This window comes from Homo sapiens, chromosome 7 (genome assembly GCF_000001405.40).
Source record: "Homo sapiens chromosome 7, GRCh38.p14 Primary Assembly".
In the NCBI taxonomy this organism is placed as follows: Eukaryota; Metazoa; Chordata; class Mammalia; order Primates; family Hominidae; genus Homo; species Homo sapiens.
In genome coordinates, this window is record NC_000007.14 from 95,862,724 (window position 1) to 95,877,171 (window position 14,448).

The window sequence follows — 14,448 nt, forward strand, 5'->3', positions numbered from 1 at the left end:
AAACTGTCTACACAAAAATGTGTACAGCCATCTCTCCATATCCTCGGGGGATTGGTTCTAGGAATTCCCCCATTCCCAGTTACTAAAACCTGAGTATGCTCAAGTTCTTTATAGAAACTGGTGTAATATTTGCATATAATCTATGTACATCCTCCTGTATAAATTAAAACATCTCTGTATTATAATACCTAATACAATGTAAATGTTACATAAATTGTTATACTGTATTTTTAAAAATTTTTATTTTTAAAAATTGTGATATTGTTTATCTTTGAATATTTTTGATCAGCAGTTGGTTGAATATGCACATGTGGAACTTGTGGATTCAGAGGGCCAACTGTATACAAATGTTTGTAGCAGCATTATTCATAATAACCCAAAGTGGAAACAAACAAAAAGTCTAACAACTGATGAATGGATTAAAAGTAATGTATAACCATACAATGAAATCTTATCCATCAATAGAAAGAATGACATAATGATACATGCTACAACATTGTTGAATCTTGAAAATGTTAGACTAAGTAAAAATAGTGAGACAAAAAGGCTACATCTTTTATTATTCCATTTATTTCCAAGTAAGTAGAAAACATATTATTAGTGGTTGTCAAGGGCTAGGCGAGGCGGGAATGGGGAGTGACTGCCAGTAGGCACAGGATTTTTGAGAGGGTAACGAAAAGGTTGTGTAATTAGATAGTGGTGATGGTTGCACAATTTTGTGAATATACTAATAACCATTAAATTATACAGTTTAAATAAGGAAATTTCATACTGTGTGAACTTTATTTTAACAAAAAAATTAAGGCAGCCTTGATCTTAAGTCTCTGGTCAACCACCTCTGCTGCTTCTCCGTGCCTTTCATAACCAGCTCCCCATCCAGTCCTTGACATGTCAAAATTATTTTTCCATTTAAATTTTTGGCCTTTATTTTTCAAGGTAACTAGAAAGTTTCTTTGAAATCTAGTGGGTTTTCTTTAGGCCTTCATCACATGTAGGCACAAAACAGTGCCTCTCCTCTTATTTCAGGATGTAGATGCAATGATTCCAGAAGCTAACGATCCATTGTTTATGGTCCTGAAAGGAATGGAGCTCTTTTCAGAACATGTGGAGAAAGCCAGGGCATTCCAGCTTAGTAAATAACTCTATGCTTTGCAAGAATTATTCATAGTACTAAAAATAGTACTTAAAGTTTTCATAACATCCCAAAATATCATTCACGTTTTTCTCAAAATTTCCTTTATCTTTGAAGTGAGAGAAGAGCCACATAGAATATATTTTTTAGAATTCCATTGGTAATGTACATGTTTCTCATGCTTTTATTTGGGAGTAAGTTTGTATAATCCTAACTTTCTTCAGCTTTAGTAGCTATCGTAGATCATCCTTATATCACACTTGGAGCTTCACCTTTTTTTGGATAATACAACTTTATAAGTAGCTAGCAAAGCCATGCTAACCTTATTGTGAGTGGATAGACAAAAGTGTCAATTGAACCAGAAATGGAAAGGGGAATGGGGACAGTGATTCATACAATGGAGTAGTTTTCTTCTTGTGATTCATAATGTCCAATCAAGGACAAATGGACAGAACCTGGGTGGATTGGACTATGCTAGTGTTAAATTGGAAATCTTTGCACCTTGAGCAGTGGCAAATAACCTTCTCAAACTTCAAGTAGCTTTATTTTTTATTCTTTAGTAAGACCTGATTTTTCTTTTCAGAAGAAACATTTCAACTTTCTTGCAATATGGCTTTGCTCAGCCAGCTTTCCCAGCCAAGTTGACAGGACAAGGTGAAAAGAAACTCTCAGGGGAAAGTCAAACCCTAGCTCTGGGGAGATGTTGGCTCCAGGTCACTTCAGGACAAGACCAAGTCAGCTTGTCAAGGATCTGTGGTTCCACTGCCCGGTCTGGAATCATCTGTCTGACTTTTTAGTTTTTTATCTAGCAAAGGTTCTTGAGCCAGTTTCTTAATATTTTGTATACCGCAATCTACTTTCTGTAGCCCTCTTCTTCTCACCTTTTCCCTCATCTCTTTACCTGGCTTGTTTCATAGAACTTCATAATGAAGTTCAAAGACGTCTGCCCATTCAGTGGCACTAAAGCCTCTAGAATAGCCTGGGATCTGATGGCAGGGTGGGGAAGCTCAAACAGGTCTGCCTAAACAATGAAGTTTTCATCTCTCCACTCTATCTAGTATTTTTAAGCCAGTGATACTCAACCTTTAGCAGGCATCAGAATCACCAGAGTAAGGGGTTGTGGGGAAAGGGGGAAGGTGGACAAGCTTCCTAAAACAGATTGCCAGACCCCAACCCTGAAATTTCTGACTCAGTGGGTTGGGGTGGGGACTGTGAATTTGCCTTCTAACCGTCTCCCAAGTGGCACTGCTGCTGGTGGGGTCAGGCACCACACTTTGGGAATCTCTGCTCTAGGATTTCTCGAATTTTGGTTTACTCTTGGCACAATTAATCCAAATATATGAAGCTTTATTGTACTGCATAGGTGATATTGAATGTTTGTTTTCCCACGGTTACTTAAAGCATTATAGTTCAGTAATTTTAAAGTTTCAATAAACCCTTTTATTTTACCAAGGTGAAAATACACCACATGATTTTAAAATGATGCCGTGTCAACCAGGACATACATAATTTGAGTCTCAATTTATATTTCTACATTGTTTCTACCTTTTCTCCTTCTCTTCCCTTTTTTCCTCTCTACCTTCCTGCCTCAAACATTTATTTAGTGCCTGCTATGTACCTGACGCTAAACTAAGGCCCAGGGTATGGCATAAATTAGTAAGGGATAAATAAGTATCTTTGCAGTCTAGTCATGGGTGAGAGACATGAAAAAGAAGTGAATACGGTCATGTGTCACATAATGATATTTTGGTCAATGACGCACTGTGTATTATGGTGGTCCTGTATGATTATAATACTGTATACTTACTGTACCTTTTCTATTTTTAGATACACAAATACTCAACCATTGTGCTACAACTGCCTACGGTATTTAGTACGGTAATATGCTGTACAGGGTTGTAGCCTAGGAGCAATAAGCTATCCCATCTAGCCTAGACGTATAGTAGGCCATACCATCTAGGTTTGCGTAAGTGCGGTCTGTGATATTTGCACAATGACAAAGTTGCCTAACATGCAATTCTCAGAAGGTGTGCCCATCATGAAGCCACACATGACTGTACAGTGACATGTACCAAGGGCTATGGCAGCAGTATCTGGGTGTACAGTGAACAGGGCATAAGCTATGCAGGAGGGGTGGTGGGATGGCAGGAAAGGTAGCACAGAGTCGGAACTGAGGAACCAGCATAGAGTCTGCAGCCTAACTAGAAGGCACGGGAACTGCAGTGGTATGAATGCCACAGTGTTGTCTTGCTCTTCCTCCTTTGCTTAGTTTAACTTAGAGAAATCCCTAAGCAAAAGGTCTTTGCTATGAAAGGACGACACCTTCTGGTCATCCTTTCTGGACTGGCTAGGGCTGGGAGTGATTGTATGGTACTTAACTCAGAAACATAATCCTTTCATTATGTCCTAACAATCTAAACCAGGCTACTTCTCAATAATTCTTTCTCATGCTTCTAAAATGACCACACGTGCTTGGACCACTATATTAGGTTTTAAGAAGCATGCCTCAATGAGTGGATGGTCATAAGGCATTAGAGAACACGCAGGAAAACAAGGTTTTTAAGTATAGTTTCAAAGTTTTTAAGTACATGGCCCTGGGACTTACTCTTGCATAGAGCCAAAGCCCAACTCTGTCACTACCTTTGTGATTTTGGAAAATTTCTTAACATCACTTGAACCTCAGTTTTCTCATCTGTAAAATTGGAATATGAGATAAAATTTTAATGAGGATAAAATAAGATGATGTATGAAAAGCGTCTGGCATATTGTAAGTCCCTGGTTACTAAAACAGCAGCAAAATAGGCACAAAGAATAGAAGCATTTGATATAAATGCAGCTTCATCCATCCAGAGATCATATGGAAAGATACAGTAATCTACCAGTACCCTCTAAGAAGTGTTATAAGGAATTGCTTTAAAATTATAAATTATTTGAGACAGATTCACCCTCAAGCCAGAAGAACCACAAGCTTATCAGTGTGTCAGATGATCAGTACATTGGGAAAACCTAATGATGACAACTCAGCTTTTATTTTGATGTCTTAGGTACAAGTCAGACCCTGAACTCACAAACATAGCATCAGTGAAAAACTGGTTGAAACTTTTCAATGGTTGTTGAGAAAAGAAAAGGTTTTGTTTTAGTGGGATAAACACACTTACTCCACCTACGTTTTGAAAACAGATGTTTCAAAGGAAAAGAAGTTAAGGAAAAGCAAATGAACTCTCCCAAGCAGCCACATCCTATCCATGTGCCCATATAAAGAAATTAGGAGTATGATTCTCATTTTGTTGTCAGAGATCATCTTCAACTCTACTATCTTAAGGAATCTTTAATGTAGGACACTCCTAAATCTGCTTTCTCTGATTTTCTTTTACAAATATAAACATTATTATAATCATCAGAACAGATAAAGTAGAGCTGCTTGAGCCAAGAGCCACTTGATATATACCAGGCACTAAACTAAGTGCTATGTAAGCATTAGCTTCATTCAGTCCTCACAACTCAATGACAGGTACCCATTTTACAGATAAGAAACATGAGGCTTAGAGAAGTTTGTCACTTGTCCAAAGTTTTCCCCTACCATTCAGCTGTATGTTCAAAGCAGAACTATGAACCCAGTTTCAGAATGAGTGCATGACATCACCATTGTGCTGTATGGTCTCACCTGCTGGTTTCAGTCCGCCATGGTGGAGTATCAAATTACACATCAGCCTCCTGTTGCCCAGCACCTGTTGCTGGTCCCAAACGAGATAGGGCTGCAGCTTACGTCATGTTAGCAGGATGCCCTGAAATCCCTGCCTGTAGAGGTAGCTACCACTTAACCAGAGCTGGAGCTCCCTGGGTCTCATGCAGGTGCCCAGGGCAGTTGAGGGTTTAGGGTGATCTCTCTGTGCTCAGGTGGCCTCAATTTGAAGTGGATTATTTTCCACTTCCTTGTTTATAATAAAGACTGATCTACTGGGGCCTCAGAAAGACACTGGGCTACTAAGCAGCGGAGAGGCTTTGCCTCAAGCAGTCCTGCAATGTCTTTTCATGTTTTCTTCTTTAGGTGCTTCAAGAAAGACCCACTTCAGGCAGGAAAACATTCTTTTCTGACCCAGGGAGGTTTTAAAATAATACCTTGAATGTCTTACTTTGAAACTTTGAGGATTTTCCCTCATTTGGTGATTTTGTTTCTGATATATGGTATGTGCTTTCCCCATTTCTGTGTAAGAAGGGAGCAAGGTTTGTCACTTGTGCAAAGCTCAGCCTGGGCCCAGCCTGGACTCTCTTGCATTCTGTGTCCCAGAGCTCCCAGTGAAACAGGCCCATGTGGTTCAGGCCTGCGTGGAGCCTGGGCTCCAGTCACGGTCACTTAGAACACAGAGACAGCCAGCGAGGCTTGTCCTCTAACCAGCGTTTGTTTGTTTATTTGCTTGTACCTACTTTGAGCACATCTTAGATCTCATCTCAATTGTGTTAGTAACTCATAGACAAGAAGAATTTTTGTTTTCCTACAGTGTTTGGGAAATTGTATGTGAAAATTCCTAACTGTGCCATGCATTTTCTCACTTTATTCCTATTAATAATAATTTAAAGAAAAAGAAATAAGGCTGTGCCATCCGCTAGTAACAATTAAGGACAATAATATGCATAGAATATACTTCTGTTGCTCCTAGAGAGCTAGGGAATGCAAGATTTTGGCTAAATGGGTAGTATACCTTTTTTTTCTTTTTCTCCCACAGAGACGCATGCACTCCATGCCTGGAAATTTTTAGAAATAGAATATGTCCAATACTAATAACATAATAACTATATACTAAAAACAATGTTCCAGAAGCTGTTTTAAAATACATATGTTTGTAAATTATGTACATATGACTACATAATATATATGTGGCATATGCATTATGTGTATGTGGTACATAGACATTACCCATAACAATTAGAAAGTACCTCTGTCTCCGTTTTACAGATGAGGAAGCTGAGGCACAGAGAGATTAGTGACTTGTTCAAGATGAGACACACGCTGGTAAATGGTGGGGCTAGGGGTTATGTATTTAATCACCAGGTGATACTACTATACCTCCACGACTGGATGTTTCCTGGGTGTCTCAGGAGGCACTTCGATTTTTGCAGTAACTCAAGAACTCACCAGTAAGAACCTTAGTTAGGAGTTCGAGTTGGTAGGAAAACAACGGACCAAGACTCATAACCTTTCTTCTACAATTTACGAGTTGTATATACTTGGGCACATCTCTTAACGGAATCTCACTATCCTCATCTGTAAAATGGAGATTATAACATCTATCCACATACTTCATAGAGGTGTCATAAAGGCACGTAACATAATGAATCTAAAGACCCCTGAAAACCCTTGAAGTGCTACATAAATATTCAGAAATGGTTTCTTACATGGTCATGGTTAGGTCTGGAATGCTGTGCTAAGGCTTTATCACTCTGAGCCCAGTGCCCCCTTTCACTCATCTGTGCTATATCAATGTGTCTTTCAAGCAAATTCACATGCTAATCTGTGTTAGTTCCTATTCTGCAGAAATGAGAAGTGTTAAACTCATTCTTTAAATATAATCCCCTCACTGCTATGATAGAGAATGTGTTACACCATTAAAGAACCCACCTCTCTTTTTTTTTTTCAAATTTAAGAAGCATTACTTTCCTTTTCTCCTTCTTTCCTAAGAGACTAGAATCCTGTATTGCAAATGGAAGTTCCCTCAATAAATTTTAACTGAGTAGAATCTGGGATGCTCAGAATGGAAGAGGTCTCTTGTAAGCTGGACCAAGACTTTACAGATAGGAAAGCTGAGGGTCTTATCTGACATCACCCAGCCTATTAGGGCCAACGTGGGCCAAGAGCCCACGTGTCCTGACTTCCAGCCCAGAGCCAGTTCTGCTTCATGACCCTGCCCCTTGCACTCAGAAGCTGAGGGTATTTGTGGTTTGTTTGTTTTAGTGCTTTCTTTTATTACTGATAGCTCTTCTGCAAGGAATGCCTCCCCTCTCTAAGCATTTATTCTTTGTTACTTACAGAAGAAGACTGCATAAACTGGGCGTGTCAAAGGTCACCCAAGTGGATTTCCTGCCAAGGGAAGTAGTGTCCTACTCAAAGGAGACCCAGACTCCTCTTGCCACGCATCAGTCTGAAGGTAAACTATGTCTTTGGCTTACTTTCCATATTATCTCTGGAGAAATCGCTGGGAAGTAACATCTTTCTTGTTGATTTCCTCTTACCATAAGAGCTCTTCATGGGATACAAACATAATGACACTGAAAGCCAAAGCCTCTTCTGAGTTTGAAAGCTATGGAGAGGGAACTCGGTGATACTCTTCCAAGTGACCTGGCAACTTTAAATTAGATAAACTAAAGAGGTTTATCTCACTACATCGAAATCATGTGAGGAGAACAAAAATCATCAAAGAACAATGTAATAGAAACAGTGCTGAATTTTATCAATAAGAATACATTAAGCATACATTAAGAATCTTAAGCATACATTAAGATTCATCATTTACATGGCTTAGCAAACTATAGCCCACCCACCTGTTCCTAGAAATAAGGTGTTGTTGGAATACAGCTATATCCAACCATTGACTTCTGTGGTTACTTTCTTGCTGCAGTGGCAGGGTTGAGTAGTTGTGAAAGAGACCTTATGGCTCACAAAGCCTAAAATCTTTATTATAACCTGGCCCTTTACAGAAAACCTTTGCTGACCACTGATTTGGTTTGCCAATTGAGGTAACAACACACGAGAGTTTCTGACCACAATTTAAAAGTATTTTCCCATGCAAACTCCACATAGGTGAATGGAAATTGAACTCCATACCTTCTTTGTGTATGCCAGAAAAATATCAAGTGAAAAAGTCACATACGGGTATCAGAGAATCATAAAAATACACTCATGAGAGAAGTCGAAGTTGATAAATACTTCCTAGAATTCAAAACTTTATCAAAGCAAGATTATGCAAAAGCAGAAGAGGGAGATGTATTTTGAAAATAGGGTAAGTGAAAGTTTCATTGTTAGAGGCTAACGTTGTTATAGCAAAGCAAATACTCTTTTTACTTTATGTTATTTTATTCTTCGGTGGGTGAAGAGGATGTTGGAATTCTGGGTTCCTTGTTGCTATGTAGTAAGTATGGACAAAAGCCATGAAATGCAAAAATGATTAGCATTTCCCCCTTAGTGATTTACCGGAAATATAAAAATCAGTGCATTTTTGTTTATGCAAGCTACAGGTTTTCAGTTTTGGTTCTAAATAAATAACGCCAAAAGCAAAGTGAATCAGATTCCTTGAAGTCCGGGGTGCCGTTAGGCATTCTGAAAATCTTGCCTATACAAGCTGTTGTGGGGACAGTTCTTCAGTAGCAGGGCCTCCATTTCTCAAGCCCCAGTGAAATGAATTTTAGAAGCAAACAAGTAGCACCCTCTGCTGGTGAGCTTTTAAACCAACCAACCCAACAAATGAGACCTGTATATTAACGTGGCTGAAAATACAGTTAGCGAGGGGGAAAGAAAGAAAAGAAAAAGAAAATACAAAATTAGAAAAGCCTGTGAGAGTTCACCTAGTCTATCCTTGGGCCTCCAGACAAGAACAGGAAGATCGTTAAAAAACATCCTCACCACCCAACCAAAACATTTGTTTGACTTAATTTGCTGCCAGAGGTATTTGCAGAGCTGTAGCTGGAGGCATGTTTATTTAGCCCAAAACTTGACCCATAGCATAAAGTTATACAACTGAAATAGGAGAAGGAGTGAATTATTTTTTAAAATGTGTACTTAAGATATTGGAAGTGGTAAAGAAATATTTACAAGGGAAGATAAATTAAGGATGAAAAGGCATCAGCTCTAAAGTTTTAAACTGGAGCACATCAAAAGGAAAAGGCTGTACATTCCATTTTATTACTGCAAGGAGAGCTTGGGAGCCCTCATTATGCTGTGGTCCAAGCAGCAGGAAAGGGGGAATTTATTTCTCAGCTATTGGCAGAAGTTCTTTCTGTTTTGTTCACAAGATCCATCAAGCTTTTTTGTGGTGAAGGGCATTTACATGGTTCAGATTACAATACAGAACCCAAAGCTAGCTACCATAGTTCTTGACATTTAAGCAATCCTGGATGGATTTGGACAGAAAAACCTTTCAATTTGGGTTCAGCAAACTGCCCCTCACCACAGGCGATGATGCCTTGACCCTTGGCTGCCGGCAGTCACCCGGCTGCCCGGCCATAGAGGGTGCTGGTGCTCACTTTCACCTGCTGTGGGGAGGTGGTTGGCAGGAGAGCTGCGTGGAGCAGTGGACAGTTGGCACTGAGGTTCTACCATGCGGCAGATGTGGGTTGGCTCCACTGTGGGGTTTGAGCCATGGCAATGTTTTCATGAAAACTGCGCCTTTCAGCGGCAGGAAACAACTACGGAATTTTATGACACAATGAGGCTCTTGGGTGGCTAACATTTGAAGCTCTGGCATATATAACATCCACTTTGGCTTGCTGTTGCCCACAATGTAAGAAGGCATGCTGATTATTTTTTGTCATTGTTTGACTGTGGACAGTTTAATGATAATCAAACTAATGATCTCAGAGCATTGATTTGTTCTGCCTCTAATGGATTCTAGTGCATTCAAGTTCTTACACATTCCCATTTTACTTTTGAAAATGAAGGGGAAGGCACTTTGGATTTGCCCAAGCTTAAGCATCCTTTCTGTACTGTGCACCGTAATGAACATTCTCATCATAGTAAGTATTAATTTTTGATCATAATGATCTGTTATGAGAAACACTCCAGACAGTGATATAAATAAGCAAGATTTAAGTATAAATTCTCCATGAATACTGTTCTTTCAACAAGGTTAGACCTTCCTTCTCTGCAGGGAAAGAAGGCCAAGAATGGCCAACACTGACTTGGAGAAGGATACCTTTGCCCCAATATATTTGAAACACATAATTTTATTCCCAAGTAGCAAGAAAGGAAAACGAAATTATGGTCCCCTCCAAGGCTGCCTCTCTGTTGCCTATTATGAACCCATTTCTGTACCAACCATGAGGTCCTGGGCTTAGGGAGCCAGTCTTTTGCATCTTTATTATAGTGAGTGAGTGCATGGCTTATCCTGAGTACCCAAGAAATGCTGTTGAACGACAAAGATAATGCCAGACATCTCTAGAAACACCAAGTTCACTATGTTCCCCCTGGGGGAATGAGAATTTCTTAATCTGCTGGAAAGATGCAAGCCACACTGGAGGAAGGAGGAGGAAATTTCTACAACCTGGTACATAATCATAGTTTGTTTTGATAGTCACCTGGTATCTTGTGGTCAAGGTTTAATCTCTACTCAGGCCCAGTAGCAAACCAAGACATCTCTCTCAAAGGGAGAGTAATGCAATAAAGAGGCCACATTATTATTCTAAAATCTAAGCACTTCTTCTGAGACTCACCTCTTAGGGACATTTGTTTGATTTGCCATAGACACTTGGGGCACCATTGGGTCAGCTGGACCATAATTTCCAAGTAGTATAGCCATTTGAAAGAAAAACTTTCAAACCACTGGGTAAATGGATTGAATAAATAGGTGCAAATGTTGAACATGTTGCCTGCAAAACCCAGAATGACCCACTAAGCATTTCGACTCTTAATATTAGAGAATTAAGGTATTCACATATACTTTGGAGTTTACCAGATGACTAGACCAATAGAGACTTTCTTAAGGTAGCGAGTACTTATGTTTTCAAAGATTTTTCCTCCATCCTCTGGCCTACATAATGTCTTAACTAGGTCTTAAAGATACCAGCTACAGCTTCCTCTCCAGGTCCTGCTGACATGATGCTCCATGTTGAAGGTGAGATTGACAAGGGCTACAGATAGAGAACTGGCTCAGCCCTGAGGTAGGATGATGAAGATGCAAAGAGAAAGGCTGCAGGTCTTTGGCTGTCAAGCAAGGCTTAGTGTAGAACATGGTTTGGAGGTACTCCCAGGCCTCCGTATTCTTACCTACATTCAATTTCCCATTATTTCCTGATCATTGCTGTCACTTTCACATAAGTCACCTGGTGACACTAGCAATTCCACAGACCTTATTCAGAAACCCACAGAATTTAAACTTTGCATTTGACTTTGACATTTTTGTAGATACTTATCACAAGCAGAGAAAGTCCATGGGTCTATGCCTAGATCTAAAATATAGAGACTTCAACCTGTCATCTATTTCTTACAGCTGTCCAGTCCCATTAGAAGTATCCACCTCATCCTAGTGTCTTTAAATTCTTCATGCCACTCACACTATTCAATAGCAGTGAAAATTTGATCCCCTAAATCCTTCTTTTCAACGGACACTTCATTAAAGATCACCATAGAAGAAAAATTATGTAGCTATTTGTTACAGCTGACAGATTCCCATTCCTGAACTCTTACTGAATTTTTATTTTCTTTAGCATCAGCTATGGCAGATAACCAACATCAGCTTCCCACGTGACTATCTCCTGATGGTAGTTTCTGTACCAGACTGAGTTTGTGGTTGCTGACAATAGAAACTAACTCTAATTAAGTTTAAACAGAAAAAAAGGTTTGTTGAGAAGATATGAGATACTTGATAGAATTGACAAAAGAAAAAAAAGCCAGAGCATTAGGTTTGAAATAAAAAGTAAATTAGGTAGCTGCTATCGACTGGATTGTGTATCCCCACAATTCATATATTGAAGGCTTAACCCCTAATACGACTATGTTTGTAAATAGGGTTTTTAGGAGGTAATTAAGGTTAAATGAAGTCATAAGGGTAGGATCTCTAATTGGTGGCCTTATTAGAAAAAGAAGAGAGAGAGAGAGAGAGAGATCTTTCTCCCTGTGTGTGTGTTCACCGAGGAAAGGCCATGTGAGGACACAGCAAGAAGGCAGCTGTCTGCGAGCCAGAAAGAGAGCTTTCACCAGAAAATGAACTGGCTGGCACCTTGATCTTGGACTTCCCAGCTTCCAGAACTGTGAGAAAATAAATTGTCCTTGTTTAAGCCACCCAGTTTATGCTATTTTTCATGGCAGCCTGAGCAGACTAAGACAGCAGCTAACACAGCAAGATCATACCAGTTAACCTTCCTGGTTAGAAGACCTGAGCCTCCTGACTTCCGGTCACTGGATACTCTCTGTTAGGCTCATGATTTAAACTCTGTAGTCACTGCTGGCTTGGAAACCTCTAACTCTCTCTGCCTCTTGACAGTGTTCCCTCAAGGGAGTCCATTAGCCAGGACTAGGTTACATGCCCCTGTGTCAGCTGTGAGGGACAAGGCAGAGAAATAACTGCCCAAGTTCAGCTTCCCATAATGTTTGGGGATGCTATGACTCAACTTTGATCTATTTTTATATCCTTCCTTTTAGAACAATGGGTGTTTGGATGCTAAGTGGCCAAGAATATATATTGGAAAAATGCCCACTTTGGTGTAAGAAAAAGAAAAAAAAGGGAGGTAAAGAGAAAAATAATATTTATTATGTGTTCAGCACACTCATATACATTATTACGCTTGCAGCATTGCTAGAATTTACTCACCTTATAAATCAGAGGTGCCGAGAGAATGCAGTTCCTTTATTTTATCTGCAGCCATTTATAATACCACTAGTTGACATGGAGAAAATATACAAAATAAACAACTTTAGTTCACTCTCATCTTTTAAACCGTCCCTGTTAGTATGTTCCATTAATCTTGGGTAGAAATGCCCAAATTCATAGAGTCCCCCTCTCATCTGCATCTCTCTCTGAGATCATGGTCAATTGTAGAGGGAAGAAAGATGAGGTTTACATGATCTAATGGCCTTGGTGGAGATAGGGAGGATGAGGGACTCTGGCCTTGTGCTAGTCCCTGGCAGCATGCTGGCTGACATCTGTTGCCCTCTGGCATGATGTCCTTTGTCCACCTGGGCACTGGCACCCTGTGTTAGAGTGTGTAGCTGGTGAACTTGTGATTTGTTCTTTTGGCTTAGTTTGGCAATGTTCCTAGGGAGCATTGGCTATCTCTCTTTTGATGATTTAGTCTCCTCTCAGCTGTCATGGTCTCCAGACCTTGAGTTGATGCCTTGTCCTTTCTCCATCCTAGAGGTCTACCTTCAGCCCATGCCATGCCTTTATCCACCACAGCAGATCTCTTGGCATACTGACTCTCGCTTTGGTGCCCATGCCTCAGAATATTTAAGGGAGATCCTCACCTGTTCTTTTCTCAGTCTTATCATGCCAGTCACCCCCAGGGAGGCTCAGATGCCTATGGTGAATAAGATCTATTGCATGGTGGTCTCTTTTCAGATTCCCAAAAAAGGAGTGTGGTTCAAGAACCCTGTGCTCATTCCTCCTCTTAGTTTAACACTCCACCTCTCCTAATGCTTCCCCCAGAAAGTGAAAATCCAGATATATCTGAAACTTTGTCTCTTCTTCCGAAATGCTCCTATCTGGAAATAAATTCCCCTGTTTAACTTCCTTCAATTTATATCTTCATTCTACCATGGAGTCTCAAGGTTTTACTGTTCTGGACAGAAGGAGTGATCTTGGTAGTTATTGATATTTTAAATGGTAAGGAAAAAAACTGGAATATCCTTTCTCCCTCAATTAAACTTGGCTCTCAAACTACAGTGGGATTACAAAATTCAATGTTTTGAGATGGAAGCTGAGTTTTACCTTAGCTGTTTTATTTTCATTCTATATCAAATTCTAATCTCTCTACTGGCAAAAAAAATGCCCTAGGTACACTAGGGTGAATATCATTACATTCACAAAGACAAACAGAAAAGCATATTAATAATTTTCAAATATAAGCCCCGCTACACACAAAAATTATTTTTGCCTACCTCTCATAATCAATGACACAGTCAAGAAATAGCAGAACTAAATAATATTACAAGGCATAGCAAACCTTTAATTCCCTGGAGAGTAACAACTGATATGTTGACTTACTTAAGAAACATCTAAGGTTCCACTTCCAGCATAAAGTAGACACAAGAGATAGAGCACATGGGGCATGTGAGATGGTCCATGAATCTACTTCCCAGTAAAATTGGTAAAAATGATAACAACAACAAAACCGCACAACTATTTAAAATATCTGGGAGCAGTCCTAATAGCATATAGCAAGTAAAAAAAAGAAAAAAAGAAAAACATTTATCTAATAAAACTAATCACAACTTGGTAAAAACAGGAAGATTCTATGGTATTTGAACCATACTCCATTCCCTCCTTGCCCCCAATTCAGCTTTAAGGAAATTACTTCAGGTGGATGCAGCAGAAAACACAGGGCTACCTCTCCTGCCAGCTCCCACTTGGAGAGCTATTGTATCTTCCTGGAAGAGGCAAGACATTAGCATT

At 39.7% G+C, this 14,448-nt stretch overlaps 1 protein-coding gene across 5 annotated transcripts in view, besides 1 other annotated feature; it reads left to right on the plus strand.

The window, feature by feature from the left end:
• The window catches only part of DYNC1I1 (dynein cytoplasmic 1 intermediate chain 1), a 337,769-nt gene that overhangs the window by 90,170 nt on the left and 233,151 nt on the right, over positions 1–14,448 (plus strand). For all 5 annotated transcript variants that reach the window (NM_001278422.2, NM_004411.5, NM_001278421.2 and 2 more), the window contains one exon: positions 7,160–7,275. In NM_001278422.2, coding sequence (NP_001265351.1) covers positions 7,160–7,275 — 116 coding nt within the window. The remainder of the gene's footprint in view (positions 1–7,159; positions 7,276–14,448) is intronic.
• Positions 4,863–4,972: an enhancer, noted in NCBI's record as "active region_26296". NCBI's record gives its function as "activates an Ori minimal core promoter by ATAC-STARR-seq in GM12878 lymphoblastoid cells {active_cell/tissue: GM12878}" and the evidence as "EXISTENCE:reporter gene assay evidence [ECO:0000049][PMID:35858748]".